We start from the raw sequence: 21084 nt of genomic DNA on the forward strand, positions 1-21084 counted from the left end.
GCATTTTAATGAAACCATTACATCTGTGATTTCAACACTCGTCACTGAGAGATTCTTAAGCAGTTTATTTAGCACATGTCTTATTTTCCAAAAATTTTTTCTATAGACATATATCAATGTCCACATGTCTAAATGTGGTATGTTTCAAGTCACTGTTGCCTAAGTTTCTATTGTAGATGTCTTAGGCTATCTAAATTGTTCTTTTAACAAATAAAACAAGGCAAACACTTACCATCTGGCATCCTTATTCTGTTGATACATCTCCCAAGTATAGCATAAAATTAAAATATAGCACACCAAAATCAAGGGTAGAGGGAAAAAAAAAGTTGTTATCGTCAAATAAAGTGTATACCTGTAAAATGAGAGAGAGAAGAGAGAGAGAGAAAGAACAACACCATTACATTAATTGGATTAGGAATTGGCTTTTGCAGTTTCCGAGGCATAATTCTTTCATTTTTCAGGGTCCAGGATGAAAGTCCTTGTGGAAAAGCTCAAGATCTTTGGTTGCTTTATTGTAGAGAAGCCCTGATCTTCATTGTTCACTAACAACAATGCTTGTCTTTTCTCTAGCCACACCCAACTCTAATGAGTGTAGAATAAGTGAGGCTACCTATTACCAATCTTCAGTGTTTAACAATGACAGGCAACAGTATGTAACATTTATTATATAGTAGGCACTGTTCTAAGCATTTTGTATATCTTTACTCATTGAATCTGTGAAACCCCATGAGTATGATGCCATTAGTGCCCTTACATTACAGAAGAAGAAACTGAGGCACAGAGGGGTCAAGTGGCTTGCCCAAGATTACCCAAACAGTAACTGGCAGAGGTAAAATTTGAACCCAGGATAGCCAATGATGGTGGGAGAAGTAATGAATAAACAATATTATCTATGTTTCTTCTAAACAATTTTCGCTGATGCATAATAGATGTATATCATTTCAGAGTATATGTGATAGTTTAATACATTCATATAATTTGTAAAAATCAAATCAGTGTACTTGGAATATCCATCACCTTAAATATTTGTCTTTTTAAAAATGCTAGAAACATTCAAATTATTCTCTTCTAGCTATTTTGAAATGTACAATAGGATATTTTAAAGTATAGTCATCCTACTGATTCACCAAACACTAGGTCTTATTTCTTTTATTAAAGTGTATCTTTGTATCCACTTAATTATCTTTTCTTCTTTACCCACTTCCTCTACCTTTCCTGGCCTCTGGTAACCACCAATCTACTATCTTTATGAGATTCACTTTTTTAGCTCCCACATATAAGTGAGAAGATGTGATATTTGTCTTTCTGTACTTGGCTCGTTTCACTTAACATAATAGCCTTCATTTCTATTCATGTTGCTACAAATGACAGGATTTTGTTGTTTTTTATGGATGAATGATATTCTATTGTGTGTATATATATTATACTTTATCCATTCACCTATTGATAGGCATTTAGATTAATTACATATTTTGGTTATTGTGAACAGTACAGCAATAAACATGGTAGTACAGATATCTCTTTGGTATATTAATATCGTTTCTTTTGGATATAAACCCAGTAGTGGAACTGTCGGATCATATGGTAGTTCTATTTTTAGTTTTTCGAGGAGCCTTTATAGTGATTGTAACAATATATATTCCCACCGACAATGTACAAAGGTTCCGCTTTGTTCACATCCTTGTCAGCATCCATTATTGCCTGTTTTTTTGGTAAAAGCTACTTTAATTGGGGTGAGATGATATCTCCTTGTGGTTTTGATTTGCATTTCTCTGATGGTTAGTGATACTGAGCACTTTTTATGTACCCATTGGCCATTTATATGTCTTATTTTGAGAAATGTCTGTTCAGATTTTTGCCCATTTTTTACATTGGATTATTTGGGTTTTTTTGCTATTGAGTTGTTTGAGCTCCTTATATATTCTGGTTTTTAATCACTTGTCAGATGGATGGTTTGCAAATATTTTCTTCCATTCTGTGCGTTGTCTCTTCACTTTGTTGATTGTTTTCTTTGCTGTGCAGAAGCTTTTTAGTTTGAGGTAATCCTATTTATCCACTTTTGCTTAGGTTGCCTGTGCTTTTGAGGTCTTGTATGAAAAGTCTTTGCCCAGACCAATGTCCTGGAGCATTTCCCTATGTTTTCTTCTTGTAGTTTTCATAGGTTCAAGTCTTAGATTTAAGTATTTAATTCATTTCGGTTTGATTTTTGTGTATGGTGAGAGGTATGGGTCTAGTTTCATTCTTCTGCATGTAGTTTTCCAGTTTTCCCAGGACAATTTATTGAAGGGACTTTCCTGTCTCCATTCTTGGCTCCTTTGATGAAGATGAGTTGGCTATAAATGTGTGGATTTATATCGGGCACTCTATTCTGTTCCATTCGTCAATGTGTCTTTTTATGCCAGTACCATGCTGCTTTGGTTACTATAGCTTTCTAGTAAATTTTGAAGTCGGGTAGCATGATGCCTCTAGCTTTGTTCTTTACCTCAGGATTTCTTTAGCTATTCAGGGTCTTTTGTGGTTCCATATAAATTTTAGAATTTTTTGTCCTGTTTCTGTGAAAACTGTTATTGGTATTTTGAGAGAGATTGCATTGAATCTGTACATTGCTTTGGGTAGTAGTGTCATTTTAACAATAGTAATTCTTCCAATTAATCAACACGGAATATCCTTTTTTGTGTCCTATTTCTTGCATCAGGTATTTATGTACGTGTGTATTTTTTTAATCAGAGTTTTATAGTTTTCCTTGTATAGATATATCACTTCTTTTGTTGAATTGAATACTAGGTATTTTATATTCTTGGTAGCTATTTTGAAGGCCACTGCATTTCTGATTTCTTTGTCAGATTGTTTATTACTGCATATGTAAATGCTATTGATTTTTATACATTCATTTTGTATCCTGTGACTTTACTGAATTCATTTATCAGTTTTAATAGTTTTTTGGTGAGTTTTAGGTTTTTCTAAACATAATATCATGCCATCTGTGAACAAGGCTATTTGGCTTTTTCCTTTCCAATTTGAATGCCCATTATTTCTTTCTCTTGCCTAATTGCTCTGGCTAGGATTTCTGATATTACATTGAATAAAAGTGGTGAAAGTGGGTATACTTGTCTTGTTGCAGATCTTAGAGAAAAGGCCTTCAATTTTTCCCCATTCAGTGCAAAATTAGCTGTAAGTATGTCATGTATGCCCTTTGTTATTTTGAGGTATGTTCCTTTTATAACCAGTTTGATGAGGGTTTTATCAGAAAGGGATGCTGAATTTTATTGAATGATGTTTTGGCATTTATTGAAATAATCATATGGTTTTTGTTCTTGGTGCTGTTAATGTGATGTATCAAATTTATTGATTTGTGTATGGTGAACCATCCTCACATTCCTTGGATGAGTTCTACTTGCTCATGATATACGATTTTTTTAATGTGTTGTTGAATTCTGTTTGCTAGTATTTTGTTAAGGATTTTTGCATCTATGCTCATCAGTAATATTGGTCTGTAGTTTTGTTTTCTTGTGTGTCTCTGGATGGTTTTGGTATCAGAGTAACGCTGGCTTTGTAGAATGAGTTTGGAAGTATTCCTTCCTCTTCATTTTTTTTTTTTGAAGTTTGAAGAGAATTGGTATTAATTATTTAAATATTTGGTAGAATTCAGCAATGAAGTCATCAGGTCCTGGACTTTCCTTTGATGAAAGACTTTTTGTTACAGCGTCAGTCTCCTTATTCGCTATTGATTTGTTGAGGCTGTTTATTTCCTCATGGTTCAATCTTGGCAGGCTGTTTGTGTCCAGGAATTTATTTATTTCCTCTATATTTCCCAGTTTGTTGGCTTTTAGTGATTCATTACAGTTTCTAATGACTCTTTGTATTTCTGAGGTTTCAGTTGTTATGTTTCCCTTTTTGTTTCTGATTTTGTTTATTTGGAACTTCTCTGTTTTTCTTAGTCTAGCTAAAGGTTTGTTGGTTTTGTTTATCTTTTTGAAAAGCCAACTTTTCATTTTGTTGATCGTCTGTAGTTTTTTTAGTCTCAATTTTATTTATTTCTGCTCTAATCTTCATTATTTATTTCCTGCTACTAATTTTGGGTTTGGTTTGTTGCCTTTCTAATTCTTTGAGGTACATTCGTGGGTTGTTTATTTTAAGTCTTTCTACTTTTTTGATATAGGCATTTATAACTGTAAAATTCCTTGTTAGTACTGCTTCTGCTATATCCCATAGATTTTGGTATGTTGTATTTCAACTTTCGTTTGTTTCAAAAATGTTTAAATTTCTTTCTTGATGTATTCATTGACCCACTAATCATTCAGGAGCATGTTGTTTAATTTACATATATTTGTGTAGTTTCCAAGGTTGCTCTTGTTATTGATTTCTAGTTTTAGTCCATTGTGGTCAAAGATACTTGCTATAACTTCTACTTTTTTGAATTTGATCAGATGTGTCTTGTGGCCTGATAGGATTATTCTGGGGGAATGTTCTATATGCTGTTGAAAAGAATTTGCATTCTGCAACAGTTGGGTGAAATGTTCTGTAAATGTCAGGCCTATTAGGTCTAGTGTGTAGTTTAATTCTGCCGTTTCTTTGTTGATTTTCTGTCTGGATGATCTGTCGATAACAGAGAATGGTGTGTTAAAATCTCTTACTATTATTGCATTGCAGCCCTCTCTCTCCCTGAAGATCTATTAGTGTTTGCTCTATATATTTGGGAGCCCCAATGTTGGGTGCAGAGATACTGAAAATTGTTATATCCTTTTGCTGAATTGACTCCTTTATCATTATATAGTGACCTTCTTTGTCTTCTTTTACAGTCATTGATTTGTAGTCTATTTTATCTAAATATAGCTACTCTTGCTCTTTTTGACCTCCAGTTGTATGGAATGTGTTTTCCCATCCCTTCACTCTCAGTCTATGTGTGTCTTTATAGGTGAAGTGGGTTTCTTGTAGGCTGCATATAGTTGAGTCTTGTTTCTTTATCAAGCCTCTTGCTGCCTTTTAATTGGAAAATTGAGACCCTTTACATTCAGTATTATTATTGATAAGCAAGGACTTACTACTGCCATCTTGTTGCTTATTTTCTGGTTTTGTAACTTTTGTCTTCCTTTCTTCTTTTCTTACTATCTTCCTTTGTGGAAAAGTGAATTTCTCTGGCGGAATGTCTTAGTTCATTCCTTTTTATTTTTAAAATCTATTATGGATTTTTGTGATGTGGTTGCAATGATGCTGACAAAAAATATATATAACAAGTTATTCTAAAGAGATGATAATTTATCTTACATCAAAGAAAAAAGTGGAAAAAAATCTACATTTTAACTCCATTCCCCTACATTTTAACTTTTAGTTGTCTCAGTTTACGTATTTCCATATTATCTGTCTCTTAACAGGTTGCTATAGCTGTTACCATTTTTGATAGATTTGTCTTTTGGGCTTCATGCTAGAATTATGAGTGGATTATACACCATAATTACAGTATTAGAGTATTCTGGGCTTGTTAATGTATTTAATTTTATCCAGGGGTTTCATACCTTCAAGTATTTTCTTTTTGCACATTAGTGTTTTTTTTTTTTTCTTTCCAACAGAAGAACTCCCTTTAGCATTTCTTGTAAGACAGATCTGGTGGTGGTAAATTCCTTCAACTTCTGCTTGTCTGGAAAACACTTTAACTCTTCTTCACAGTTGAAGGATAATGTGCTGGATGCAATATCTTGGATGGCAGGTGTTTTTTTTTTTTTTTTTTTCAGTTTGAGAATGCCATTTCACTCCCTCTTGGCCTGTATGGTTTCTAGTAAGAAGTCCATTTCCAGATGAATTAGAGCTCCTTTATACGTTATTTGCTTCTTTTCTCTTACTGATTTTAGAGTTCTATCTTTGTCTTTGACTTTTGAGAGTTTATTATATGCCTTGGGGTACAGTCTTTTTGGGGTTGATTTTGTTTGGTGTTCTCTGATCTTCCCATATCTGGATATTTACATCTTTCTCAATTTGGGGAAATTTTCTGTTATTATTTCTTTGAATAAGCTTTCTACTCCTTGCGCTTGCTCAACTCCCTCTTGAACACCGATAAGTCTTAGATTTGGTCTTTTGAAGTAATTTTTTCTATATCTTGTATACAGTCTTCATTTCTTTTCATTCCTTTTTCTGACTGTGTATTTTCAAATAGCCTGTCTTTGAGCTCACTAATTCTTTCCTTTGCTTGACCCGTTCTGCTGTTGAGAATTTTTAGTAACTTTTTCAGTTTAGCAAGTGTATTTCTCAGTTCCAAGATTTTTTTTAATTTTTAAAATTATTTCAATCTCTTTGTTAAATTTCTCTGATATATTTCTGAATTGCTTTTGTGTGTTATCTTGAGATCACTGAGTTTCCTAAAAACCACTATTTTGAATTATTGGCCAGAGAGCTCACATATTGCTGTCTCATTAGGGTCAGTTACTGGTTCCCTGATGGTTCACTGTTTGCTGTTGCTTCTTATGGATGTACATCTATGTCTTTGCATTAAGGATTTGCTATTTATTCCAGTCTTCTCTGTCTGAGTTGTTTTGGTTTTTATTTCCTGTATTTGCTTAGAGAGTCTTTATCGCTAGGTTGCTGTCTCCTTTTGGCTCTAGGTGGTGCCTTAAGCCCAGGCTTGCTTTGGCTCTAGTGACCCATCAGTCACTGGCTGTCCTGAATGGGGGAAGTCCCAAAGGAGATATCCCGGAGGTGTGGGAAGCCTGGCTAGGGGTTTGTCCAGGGGACCTGCTGAATGTACCTCCTGGAGTGTACTGCTATATAGCCACTCTGATTTAGTGTCTCCTTTGGCTGAGTTACAGAGCAACAGTCCCACCTCCCTACTTTGTCTCTGCCTGTTCTCAGGGATATTTCTCCCTTCCAGAACTTATGATACTTCCCATAGGTTAAGGCAGAGACAGGTATTTTGTCAGGGAACCCAAGGTGGTGGGAAAGCTGGTTGTCTACCTTGATCTCGTTTTTTTCAGTGTAGAAACTGTGAGTTGGGGGGAAGTTTTTCATGTGTTTGGTGTCAGGCAGAATGGGGGAGAGGGGTGTCATGGATGTGGAAATCTGATTCTGTTACAGTTGGCTTGGAGGCTTTTTTTTTTTTTTTTCACTTCTCTGAATCCTGAGGAACCATCTCATCCACATATTTGAGTTCTGGAGTTCTGGAGTTCTGGGATATTGCTAATGATAACCTTGGTGCTGTATATTTGTCTTTGATTTTCTGAGGGCTCTGGGAGTGGGGGCATTCAGTCAGCTTGCTTCTATGCTGCCATTTTGGAACTGGAAGTGCAGTCCTATCTATGTTGCACTGTTATGTCCCAAATGTTTGTGTTCCCTCAAAATTCCTATGTTGAAAACCTAACCCCAAATATAATGGTATGAGGAAGTAGGGTCTTTGGGAACTAATTAAGTCATGAGAGTCGCGCCTTCATGAATGGGAATAGTGTACTTATAAGAAGAGACACAAGAGAGCTTGCTTCCTGTCTCTCTCTTTTGCCACATAAGGACAAAATGAGAAGTTGGCAGACTGCAACCTGGAAGAGGGCTGTCATCAGAACTTGATCATGCTGGCAGTTTCATCTTGGATTTCCAGCTTCTAGAACTGTGAAAAATAAATTTCTATTGTTTACAAGCCACCTAGTCTATAGTGCTTTGTTATACTAAACTGAACTGAACAAGACATGCAAGCATATGAATTTTTTTTTTTTAACTGGATTAGCGGATTTGCAGGTCCTTTACCGCCATCTTTCTTTGGCTGTGTCCACATAATGCAGAAATGACTTATCTATTTGACAAGTGATGGAGTAAGAGAAAGTAATCTGCCAGACTGACTTGAGATAGCATATGTAAAAATATCTAACACAGTTATTGGTCATTGGTAGTTGCTCAAATAATTTAATCATGAACTCCAATTCTGTGTTCAAATTTCAAATTGAAGACTTTTAATTTCTTTTTAAATTAAAATGTATAAAACGGCTATGGTAGTTGCATTAGTTTCCTAGGACTGCTATAAGAAATTAGCACAAACTGCATAGCTTAAAACAATAGAAATTTATTCTCTCACAGCTCTGAAAGCTAGACATCTGAAATCAAGGTGCTGGCAAATTTGGTTCTTCAGAGGCTCTGAAGCAGAATCTGCTCTATGCCCCCTCCTACCCTCTCTGCTGGTTTCTGGCAATCCTTGGTGTTCCTTGGCTTACAGACATATCACTCCAATCTCCGCCTCTGTCTTCACCTGTATTCTCTTTTCTGTGTGTCTCTGTGTTTCTTAAAATCTGCTTCTCCTTATCAGGACAATAGTCATTGGGCCCACCCTAATCCAGCATGACCTTAACTTAGCTTGATTACATCTGAAAAAACCCTATTTCCAAATAAGATCACATTCACAGGTATGGGGAGCTGGTGTAGGACTTGAACATGTCTTTATAGGGGACATAATTCAAGCAAACTGCAATTGCATACTGATGAGGTGGAGTCTGAGTGACTCTGGAAATTCCTTACCTCCCTTGATTGCTGCATTCCCACTGCGTCTGGCTGCTATGAATGTTTAAAATCCATGTTTAAATATATTTGTGTCCACTGAGGTTACATGATTGAATTCAAAATCTTTTTCTAAAGGTTACCCTCTCCTTAAAAATCAAACTTATCACCTTGATTGTATGTGTGGAGAAACCTAATGGAGATACTGGCGAGAAGAGGATCCATAAGGATACTCTTTGAGGCTGCTCACATGTTGACAAGGAGAATGAAGTTCTTCACAACTTAATTCAACTCGTTTTTCTTAAGTTTTCACAACTTACCAGAGTACATCGTCAGGGGATGTCAAATCAAAAGCACAACTCTCAACACCGTCTTTAAATTTGATGACCTTCGAGTAGACCCAGACAGGCAATGCCAGGATAAAGGAAGCTGCCCAAAGGCCCAAATTGATCCGGATGGTCTTGTACCTTGTTCTCCAACGTGTCAGTCGAAATGGTTGGACGAGGGCAAAGTACCTGCAAAGGCAGTCAGGAAGAGTTTTGGAACAATCAATAAAAGCACTGAGCTCCAAGGATGAAAGGTTCATGATGAGAGTAAATTCTTAGCATTATTTTCCTTTCTGAAGCACACCTCTATCAGGGCAAAAGAAAGTTTTATATATATATATATTTTAATTTTTATTTATTTTTTTAAATTTTTATTTATTTATTTTTATTATTATTATACTTTAAGTTTTAGGGTACATGTGCACAATGTGCAGGTTAGTTACATATGTATACATGTGCCATGCTGGTGTGCTGCACCCATTAACTCGTCATTTAGCATTAGGTATATCTCCTAATGCTATCCCTCTCCCCTCCCCCAACCCCACAACAGTCCCCAGAGTGTGATGTTCCCCTTCCTGTGTCCATGTGTTCTCATTGTTCAATTCCCATCTATAAGTGAGAACATGCGGTGTTTGGTTTTTTGTCCTTGCGATAGTTTACTGAGAATGATGATTTCCAATTTCATCCATGTCCCTACAAAGGACATGAAAGTTATATTTTTTAAGATCTGCCTGGTATCTGTAGAGAAAACAATTCTTGACCCTGCAAGTCTGAATAAACCACTCACTGAAATAGTTGTTCCTTCTATGAATACATTGATAATGGTAAAATTCTACAGTGCAAACTCTTTCTTTACAAAGGGGCTTTTCCTATAAACGAAACTCTGGAAAACTTTGTCTCTGAACAGGGATTTCCTGCAGGAGGAAATAACCCTTTTCCCAGCAAGATTTACTGACACAGAGGCAGGAAGGAAGAAAATGTGGGGTTAAGAGAATCCCTCAGCAGGAAGGGGTTCAGGCACATAGAACAAACATTTTGCCCTGATGGCTTTATACTTAAGTCACCAGGCTCATGGAGTTTCAGCTCACAGAAGTCACAGTGAGGATTAACAAGTATGGCTAGTATAGACAATGCAAATTCCTTAAGGAACTTAGGCTAGAAGCCAGAGGGAAGAAATAGGCTAATTTCATGGGGAGGCATTTTTCTTTATTTTTCTCTTTTCATTTTAGGGCCAGGAAAAAAGGGGTAATCATTAATCAAACTTGAAATTCTGACATATCAAATGTATTTGGTCCTCCAGCAAATCCAAGAATTTTTCAGAGCAAAATGAAAGCTGAGAATGAAAAACAAGTTCAGATTCAGAAGGAAGGCTATTTGAAAAAGCACAGCTTTGCTGGGAGCTGGGGGTGGTGGAGGATAGTATTAGTAGAAATTAAACAAATGTAAAAATGGTTTTTATGGTCACTTAATTTTCTCCAAGTTTTTGCAAAGCTACTTAATGAAGACTCACAAAAATAACAAATTTCCTGTCCTCTTGCGCTTTCAATTTTGCACCAGAAGCAGGACATTTGCATTCAGTTAAGGGGCCTTTGGTTGCAGAGAGTGGTTTCTGGCCAGGGCTCCTCAGCTACCCATCCTCTCTGCACACTGCACATGCATTCCCCATGGCTAACGAGGGAAGGGCCTCTTTTCTCCCTGCTGCGGAAGTGGATGATGTAGTGACTGCATAGCAGCCCAGCCATCATTTTTACTGGAATTATAGGATGAGGAAGTCATGGGATCAAGCAATTAAGGAATCTTCTCTGATAGCATCCCTCCCCAGCTGAAAACCTTTCAGTGGTTTTCCATCAATTTTCAGAATTCCTCCCATGATCCACAGGTCTTTTTTCCCACCTGGTTCTGCCTGCTGCTCAAGCTGGAGCCTGTGCCAGTCTCTCTCTTGACTTCCTCAAGCTCTTCCCCTTTCAAGGTTAGGCACTTGCTGCTCTACCTGCCTGGCAGGATCTGCCTCTGCTTCTTCTTGCTCTTCCTTCAAGTCCCTATTTAACTGTCTCCCTCTTAGGGAAGACTTCTCTGACCACCCATTCTATAGGAGGGACCATGACTATAAAAGAAGATTATAGGAGACTCTACTTTTCCCTCCTAGTGTATGATCGCTATGTGGAAATATACAATTACTTGTGGGACTCTTCACTTAATGTCTGTCTACACCACTAGAATGAAAGCCCCATGAGGGCAGGAGCCTTGACTATTAGTTTAAGGCCACTGTATCCCCTGTGTCCAACAATCTCTGGCATATGGTTCATGCTCAATAAATATTTTTTGAACAAATGAATGAATCAATTGCAAATTTTGGCTCCTACTTACTGACTCTTGATGTTTTAGAGAATTTATTTATAAAAGTAGCCACTAATGAAAGTCTAGGTAGCTTTCATTTGAAGGCAAACATTTTTAATATTTTGGATATTTATATATTGTTTTTGTATGGCTATGGAGGTAGAAGCCCACTACTAAATATTCTACACACTTGCAGTTATCACTAATTAGGGAAAGCAAAATGAGTTATTGGAAACACTTGAAATGCATGATCTATTAAACTGGCAATTAAAATGATTTAAATATGTAAACACTAAGGCATACTGATGGCACTGACATTTAGTTATGATCTTACAAAGCAAGCCTCATTTCTCTTTTACAAAATTGCAGATTTTGTTAAACTTTTATGAATTTAGTGGAGTTAGAATTACAAGAAATGTGAGGAAGGAAATGGTTCAGTTTTATAGGCTCTTCACTTGTTTCTTACCACCTGATCTTCCAGAATGAGGGGAAGGAAAGGGCAGAATGTCTTAAATGTGAAATGAAATTTTAGCATACTATGTCCATTGGATTAAAACAAAACAAAACAAAAGACTAGGAGTAAGATACCACGCCTGCATGTGTGCACACATATATACACAGAGAAAAACCTGTCAATATTTAAAAACATACACAGTTTGTCTCTTCCAAGGCAGAAAATGCCCATTCACTTCATTTACAGTAAGAGATTTATAGGAGTATACCTGTTTATTTTTTTTTTTTTCAAAAAAAGCCAATATTCTCCTGCATCCAAGGCACAGTATATAAAGAAGCTCGTATTATCCCCAAGAATGGGATTACTGTTGGTATGGTCTGTACTTTAGGTCACTTTTCTACAGTGAGCCTGGCCTGTTCAAGGCCCTCTTCCTGGTATTGGAACCCTGACAAGCATATGGGGCTTTTCTCATGACACAGTCACATTGGCTGGCATTAGCTGAGCTAACCAGAGCTATGCAGTATATTGATTTAAAAATGTGTTAGTTACAAGTTGAGAAGCACATTCTATATTTTGAAAGTTCTCTTGCAGAAAAACAAAAGGATATTTAAAAATTTACCATTATTATTCGTTCTTGTCAGAGTGAATTATTTATATGAACTTTGCAATTCTTTTTTTGTTCATCTGAAGAATGGCTCATCACTTCCCCACCAAAAAGTCTCACTTAGAAGGGTGAAAGAGGCAGGGTTCAGGACAATTTCTGGATGGACCCAGGGAAATTTAACATACCCTTCAAGACATTCATTCATTCATTCATTCATCAATATTTTTTGAGCACCTGAGTGCCAGGCACTGTTACATACACATTTATGATATATTGGTGGACCAAGACCCTGCCTTTGTGGAATTGACATCTGAGGTACAAGGGAATGAGACAATAAATAACACACACACACACGTGATTTATGTAATATATTTGAATCAAAGGAAAAACAGTAGATCAGAGCAAAGAGGATTAAATGTGTTGGGCTAGGGTTGGGTTGGGAAGAAGGCAGATGGAGATTTTAAGTGGGTTGTCCTAGAAGACAGAGTATCACTGTTGGAAGTACTATGGTTGTCTTTAGGCTCTGTTTCTGTTTGGGGTGAGCTGCTAGGACCTGGTGTGGACGTTCTGGCATCTGGATAATGCAGGGCATATCCTAGCTTGCATGCTTCCTAGACAGGCCAGATAGTGAGGCAGTTACAACTATCTGCCATCTCTAGAGTCAGATGGCTTGGGTCTGAACTGGATTCTACCACTTATTGGTTCCATAAGTACTCACCATCACCATCATCTCCTCAAATAACATTAGCTTACATGGATGGTGAAAAGGGCTATGGCACATTTCCAAGACATAGTGGAATACATTTCTAATAATATAAAATAACAGCATTTGTATTAACCAATCACAATAATGTTTGTAAAAGATGATCTCCCTGGCACTGGGAAATTGCTTCATGGTTGTATAATAACATCTATTTACTCCACTGATTCCTTAGAGCTATGAGGCAATAACAAGTGTATGAGACAGTGGACATATCAGAAATAGCCTTGGACAGAGACTAAGGAAACCTACTTTAATTCTTGGTTCTGCCACTAATTCTCTATGTGCTTCTAGCAAATCTCCTCACCTCTCTGGGCCTCAGCTTCTTTACTGTGAAATTGATGGGGGGAATTCATTCTGGTTTCTAATATTTCCTGGTTTTGTGATTTTTTTTTCTTGCACTGAATTGCAAATAAAACTGAGTCAAAAAGAATGATTAGAAAAAAGGAGATTTTTGTGTTTTATGTTTTCCATTAAAAATATTCCTCTGTGAAAGTTGAACAAAATATTCTTAAGTAATCAGTTCTACAGTGAAACAAAGGAAGAAAACCTCTGCTGTTATAAACCAAAACTGGTGTTGGAATTGGAATGAGCTTGGGGAAGCACAGGCACCTCTGAATTATATTAAGATATTTCAAAGTCTTTCACTTACCTGTCCACACTCATTACAGTCATGATGGCACTACAGGCAAATTGGTTACAAGTATCCAGGGATGTGATGATGGTGCAGAGAGGCCCCCCAAACACCCACTCTCCCCCTCGGGCCCATTGGTGAATAAGAAAAGGCATTCCAACTATGTGGACCAAATCAGCCACAGCCAGGTTGCAGATATAGATGTCAGGGACTGTTTTTTTCCTGGATCTGAAAGAGATAGAGGAAACTGAGGATTGACATTGAATGTATACAGACTATTCGATATATGCTACCTCATACAAATTTTTAATTGACATAATGCATTTTAAATGTTAAAGGAAAACCTATACAGATGCATAGAGGAAATGCCTAGTCTTGTGTGTATTTAAGCATTTTGAACTATTTATTTGATAACTTACTGTGGTGGTTTAAAAATATGTCCACAAAATATTTGATATTCCTTTCAGTAGGTGGAGCCTAATTCCCTCTGAGTGCTGACCTTATTAACTTGCTTCTAACAATGAGAATATGGCAGAAGTGCAGTGTGTGACTTTGAAATTAGGTCACAAAATTTTTGTGGGGCTTTCTCTTTGCTCTCTGTTGGATTGCTTTCCCTGGTGGTAGCCGGCTACCATCTTGTGAGGATACTCAAGCAACACTATGGAGAGGTCCATGTGGAGAGGAATTGGTTAACAACCAGTCAGCACCAGCTTTCCAGGTATGGGAATAAGCTACCTTGGAAGTAGATCCTCCAGCCGCAGCCAAGCCTTCAGATAACTGTAACCCTGGAAGACAGCTTGACAGCAACTTTATGACAGATCATGAGCCAGAACCAACCAGCTAAGCTGCTCCTGAATCCATGACCATTGGACACACGTGAGACAGTAAATGTTTATTGTTTCAAGCCACTATGTTTGGGGTAATTTTTTATGCAGCAACAAGTTATACCAACTTTAAATACACTCAGGTAAAAGATTTAGTCTTTACTCATTCCTAGTATTTAAAACAGCTGAAGACTGAAAATAAATGATTTCTGTTGTCTAATGCATTTTTTTTCTTATTGCAGCTTAGGCCATTGTTAAGATTTCAACAATGACTTAGAAATATTCCAGTAAAATCTAACAAATAGCAAAGACTATTAATAAAGACCCTGAGATCCAGACAGTGAGAGTCATCTGAAAAGAGGGAGCTGGTAGATGGCACTGAGAATGATCTCATGTCTCCTGTGGGGAGCCGGGGGTGGGAGAAGTGAATTCAATGCTATCTAGAAGTGGCCTTCTCATCAGCAGGTGAAATACATTTCTGAGAGCAGAAATTTAAAATTTAGTTGGTTCCTACTTCAAGGAGCTGGCACATTCAATAATAAGCAGGTATCATCTTTATCTGGGAGATTCTGTTCATTAATTCAAAAAACATTTTATTGAGCACCAATTACATGGCAGGCATAATGTTGTGCTCTAAGGCTGTAAAGCTGAACTATGTATAAACCCTGTCATCAAGGAGCTTATAGTCTAGACATGCATAAATAAATGATCACATCACAATTTGATGAGAGAAAACTAGAGACAAGTACAAGGACAAGAAGCACAAAGAAGGGGCCCCCTCCTCTTTCCTGGGAACTGTCAAGACAGGTTTATTGGCAGATGTGGACAAATAAGAATTTAAAGAGCATGTTAAGAACCAGTCCTAAGATTATGCCACAATTGCTAGTTTTTTCCTATTTCAGGGCTAGTGCTCTGCTGTTTGGAAGCTAGTGTGTGTCTTTATTATTCATTGGTTACAACTTCTATAGCCTGTGAACTTCATTTCTCAGCTGTCAGATTCTCATGTGAAACATTAGACTGGGCGAGGCCATCTCTTCTCCAGGCCTTGGCAGCATCCACTGTGTGGGGAAGTTACTGCCATGGAGTCCTTATTCAGCAACCATACTGTACGCATTGTTGCTGCCACTAAAAAAACAGGTTGGTTCCTTTCCCTCAGGAGCTTGGTGCCTCACACCAGAATGACCAAGAGGGAGAGGAGACATGAAGAAAAGATCATGTCAAACAAAAGACCAGCCAGCTGACTGTCCTTGGTCTCTCATCCCCTGTCCTCTTCAGGTCATTAGACTGGGAAATGGAGAGGGGACAGGGAAGAGGGACAGATATTAGCAGTCAGATAGAAAGAGCTCCAAACTAAAAAAAAAAAAAATCATAAATCTTAGTCTATAAATAGATGTTATTTTCATGTGAATTGGGATATAAACCATAAGCAGTTGCTTAGGTCTCAATTGCAGCAATTAGATCCATGGCCCTTGCTTTTCTCTAGAGGGGTACCCATCATTTACTGATAATGAATTATGGTAATTCTATTGTGGGAACAGTGCAGGCCATTAACTGGCAATCAAAAAGAATTAAATAAAAGTGTGTCTAGATGATATTCTGTATAGTACAAAGAGAGTTCTGAAGCAACTGATAAATTTATCTGGACATAAGTTACTAGGGCAATATGAATAACACATTATATTTATTATTGTCTTCTTTACTGAAAGCAACAGCATCAAAATTAAAAACAATTAAATAGAAATTGTAAAATTTCTAACTATATAAATTATATCCCTTTTTAGGTCTAATTTATCTTTAGATTTCCTGTTGTCAGACTTCATGGAATTTATATTTCTTACGATGTAAACATTTAATATAAAATACAAAGACTTGTGATAATTTTGGCTAACATGTGCTCCATATGGTTAACGTGGTCATATCTAATACTCATTAATTTGAGGAATGATAAAATAAATTATGGTATTTCCACACTACCACACTCAATAGGATGTACCTGTAGTCATAGTTTGAAAGAATATTTAATCAGATGAGAAAATACTAATACTATTAAGTAAAAAGAAAAAAGAAAGAATACTCATAATGTGTATAGCATGACTCTAAATTTATTTAAACATTTGTTAAAAAATTTGCAGGAACAATATGTCAAGTGATCACAGTGATCATCTATTTGGTAGTAGTATGACTGATTTTTTACTTTATTGTTTGCATTTTCTCACAATTTTTCAAAATTTCTATTAAAATCATGCTTACCTTTTGCCATCAGAAATAACAACATATGATATGAATTAGTAAAACTAACAAAACATAACACTACGCATGTAGGCTGCTGTGCTTGTCATTCGCCAGCCTGTCCTCAGGCCCCTTTGCCAATTGGCTTCTGATTAGGTTTAGCCAGTCAGAAGCACCAGTGGGAACTGGAGAGTAAGGAGGAGAGGAGAAGCCAGAATGTAGCCTTCACTCCATGGTCCAAGATACCAGTGGGGCTCCAGCTCCCACCAGGCAGCCCAGACTCCTGAGGACTGAAAAACCTCTTTCTCCCTTTTCCCTCCAGCTTGGGGCAGGGAGAGGAAAGTGGTGTTGGGGTGAGGGATGGGATAGGGTGTAGAAGTGGCTTCCTGCTCTTGTTAATCTCTGGGTTGCCTCACCATCCCATCTGGCATTTAACTCTAGTTGAATTAAATTGCTATCATGAGCCTATGCCAATGGATTAGTAGTCATTTCCTGAAGCACTGTGCTGAGAAGAATTCTGAGTCCTCACACAGGACAGACCTATACAGGACAGATGCTATACAGGACAGACCTGCGTGATTAGAGATGACTGCTAAGGGTGAGAGAGTTTATAGTAGAGTCCTATATTTGCCAACCCTTCCCTAGATACATAGAGTGACAGAGTGGAAAGATAACCTAACTGGGAATTTTATTTTCATTTCTATGCCCTCGCTCATTGTGTCCTTAGGCAAGCGATTCAACTTCCTTAGATTCCCAAGCCAGCTTCTCATATTGGCCAACTGGACCACAGCTCATCTGAACAGATGTTGTTGCATGGTACTCTGGCATCGAAAACATATCTGTGCAGCCAAGGGTATGGGTCAATTCCAACAAGAGTCTGTGTATGGCTGACACTTGGAATGGTAGAGGGCTGGGTCAGAGGGAGCTGTTAGTTATTATTTAATCTGGGTGGGGAAAAAAGAGACCTGTGTTCTAAAACGTTTTCCATCCCTGTCAGCAGCTGGAATTCTACCATTAGACAGTATTCCTCTAGGTTAACACATTGTCCATCTCGTAACCTCTGTTTCACGAATTCATGACTTAGTGTGAATTAGTTGACCTGACAGGGAGATGAGGGCAGGAAGTGACAAAATGGGAACTCTATTTTTGGAGGATAGGGCACCTTTTATAGAGACTCTGCCCAGTTGAAGGGAGTCTGTCAGTAAACAGAAGAAAGATGTGTTCAGAAGGTAGATGTGGGGGTCTGACAAAACAAAGTTGTCCGTTTATTGAAGTATAGGTGATTCCCAGGGCCTGCTGTGCCTGTGGAGACTAGTTGAGTAATGGGGTTGAGTTCATCAATCTGTCTCCTGGGAATGCAAGAGGAAAATATTATAATTGGCTCAATTTTCTGCCTACATTTTCTAAACTGGCTTCCTTTCACCTGCTGTAAATTTAATGTACAACAGACTAGTGATGATCAGGCCTCATTATTTTATAGTCACCCTCCTAATGCACAAGTTGTTTCTTGCTTTTAAAAAAAGGCACATAGAACATCTTATTCTTGAAGCTCCATCTTCCTTAAACATATTTATTTTATATACGTTTCTAGTCTTCATTTGGCAAAGTCAGAAATTAGTTCATTGCTTGCTTTCCAGCATCATTAATGATTTTATTGACTTTTAGTTCTATTGATGAACAATGGTTTTGATACAATTACTACTGTAAAAGGAAAAGTCATTAAATCTTGTTTAAATGTTATTTATTTCTCCTTATCATTACTGTAGTCTTAATATTTTATTTAATTCACCTGTCTGTTCATAAAGTAACAAATAAAAGATCATGGCAAAGCATGATGAAAACATTAATACAAACTGCCTTAAAATATTTAGAGAGCAATTTGCAAAAAAGTTGATAAATTCCTAGCCAAATAAATAAATAAATGTAAGTTGCTTTCAAATCACTTTTGAAAGATTAATACATTTTTGGAGAGCCATGTGCAAGGAAAAGTGTTAAAATCTTAGCAAAAAAATTAAAACTGTTGTTTTAATTAAAAGTTGTTCCTGATACTTTTTGAAAGATTACAATATTTATTTTAAAAGCTCCATTAGCATTTCTTTATCTAATGTATATTCTCACATTATGTATAAAATGATAATATGAAGAAATGATAGATTTTTCTCAATATTGCAAACCAATTGGTCCGTACAATGGCTCAGGTGTTTTTCTCCTCAGTTAAATGACGGTTGACTTTATGTTGAAAATCTGTTTCCATAAGTTACAGCTCAGAATTGACTTTTAGAAGAGTTCACATTGCCCATGTCTTCCTTTTTTACAACTTTGTCTCTGTATAAATAGATGGGATTAAGCTGTTATCTATTGGTGTAAATTGAGGGATCCAAGAAATTTCTCTGGCTCCAGACATCTCTTCAACAGCTTGTCACAAGAGCTGGAATCCCACACTGAAGAGGTTTTGCATATAAAAGTTGCCTGTGAAAATGCAAACATTTCGGAAGGGCTAACACCTAATAAGGACCTGGTTTTTCAATGGTGGTACCAAGGCTTTTGAGTGTAGGACACACCATATGTATCTGTAGAAGAGCAGGGCAGAAATACTGGAGGCCATGAGGGAGAGATGGAAGGAGAACTGGGCAGGTCCAACAGGCAAATGGGAGTGAGCTAGAAACATTCTCAAGTCTGTGGCTATTAACTCTCTACTCAGCACTATTGCCTCTTTGAAGCTCCCTTAGAATATTGATTACTTCCATTTTCTTTCCTGGAACTTATCTGAGCCATCTTTTTTCCCCCACTTGATTGTTTTTAAAGTCTTTCTTGTATTATTTTTCAAATTATTCCATGAGTTTAAATCTCATCTTCCCCACTAGAATATGAACTTTTTAGATAGACGCTGCTTTTTTTTTTGGTATTTTCATAAACCCTAGGGCAATGCAGGGCATGCAATAGGTATTTACTAATAGATATTGAATTGAATTTCTTCTAGCACTTAAAGAAAAATTTAAAATGCTTGATATTCACAAATAGCTTTACAGGACACAATAAGGAATGCTTGAATTTATTAAGAGTAGAATCCCTATGTACTAAATAAATCTTCAGCTGTGACTGGTGTAAAAAATACCATTGATCCTCTACTTCTAACTGCAGAGATAGCGAAACTGAAGGTTTGAGAGAGGGCTGGCTGATGAGACGCCACCTGGGGAAGTGACAAGTTACGAGCCTTCTCGGGGTGACCTTCTCACATGACCATCCTGAGGGCTCCTCTTGCTCTCAGTTAAGCCTGTGAGGATTCTTTTATCTTTACAGCAAATCCAACAACTGTCTCTATAATTTTGATGACCTCTTTGTTTTCATTAGTTGTGGAGGAAATAGCCTTGGATTCGGAATAAATCTGAGTTCGATTGCCAGGATCGCTACTTACTAGCTCTGATGCTGGACCAGTTATTTACTCATCTGAACCTCTTTTCTTAAATGGGTGTAATAATAGTACTGCTGTGCTTTTTAAGTGTAATATGCTCCACAAAAGTTTGTTGCAGTTATGTGTTAATATGATGCTGAAAACACCTATTAGGTAGTGCAGGTTGGGCATCCCTAACTTGAAAATCCAAAATCTGAAATGCTCCAAAATCTGAAACTTTTTGAGGAATAACATGACCCTACAAGTGGAACGGTCCACACCTGACCTCATGTGATGGGTTGCAGTCAAAATGCTGCTGTATAACACACAGCGTCTCCAAGGGAAAAATGACCCTCCCAGCCCCCTTCAGCTGCTGTCATTTCACAGCTGGTGCAGGTGTTCTGGTGATGTTACTGGGCTGCTTAGTTCCCCTGAACACATTATTTTTCACTGTATTAGTGGTGTTAATGGTCATATTTTTTACTGCTAAGTATTGTTGTGTGAATAAGTTTAAGAAAGTGATTGTTTATTGGTTGGATGTCAATATAGAGTCAGGAATGATGGTGATGCCAAACAACCACAGATGTCCACATGGGTGGCTGAGAGAGTGACGCCTTTACTTTCTGATGGTTTGATTTACAAAAACTTTGTCTCATGCATAAAATTATTCAAAATATTACATAAAATTACTTTCAGGCTATGAGTATAAGGTATAAGTGAGACATAATGAATTTTGTATTTAGACTTGGTCCCTTCTGCAGGATATCTCATTATGCATATACAAACAGCACAAAATAAAAAGAAATCTGAAATCTGAACCACTTCTGGTCGCAAGCATTTTGGATAAGGGATACTAAACCTGCAGTCTAGAATATCTTTTATAACATATGAATATGGAAGAACATTTTGAAAATGGCAATTTTAAGTATAATCAGAAACTAGGATGAAAAATTTAACATCCTATAGTTATTAAAACTAGCAAAACTTACATGTGAAAATAATCAGGATAGTAAATATACCAAGTAGCTATAGGGCTAGTGTGCACTAATTCTGAATCCATTT

The 21084-nt window shown here is 37.0% G+C and overlaps 1 protein-coding gene across 3 annotated transcripts in view; it reads right to left on the reverse strand.

The window, feature by feature from the left end:
• Positions 1-21084, reverse strand: part of MCHR2 (melanin concentrating hormone receptor 2) — a 75705-nt gene that overhangs the window by 15647 nt on the left and 38974 nt on the right. For all 3 annotated transcript variants that reach the window (NM_032503.3, NM_001040179.2, XM_024446571.2), the window contains exons 3-5: positions 13597-13806; positions 8784-8978; positions 233-352 (exon numbers count right to left, since the gene is read on the reverse strand). In NM_032503.3, the coding sequence (NP_115892.2) occupies positions 233-352; positions 8784-8978; positions 13597-13806 (525 nt within the window). The remainder of the gene's footprint in view (positions 1-232; positions 353-8783; positions 8979-13596; positions 13807-21084) is intronic.

This window comes from Homo sapiens, chromosome 6, assembly GCF_000001405.40.
Source record: "Homo sapiens chromosome 6, GRCh38.p14 Primary Assembly".
Lineage (NCBI taxonomy): Eukaryota > Metazoa > Chordata > Mammalia > Primates > Hominidae > Homo > Homo sapiens.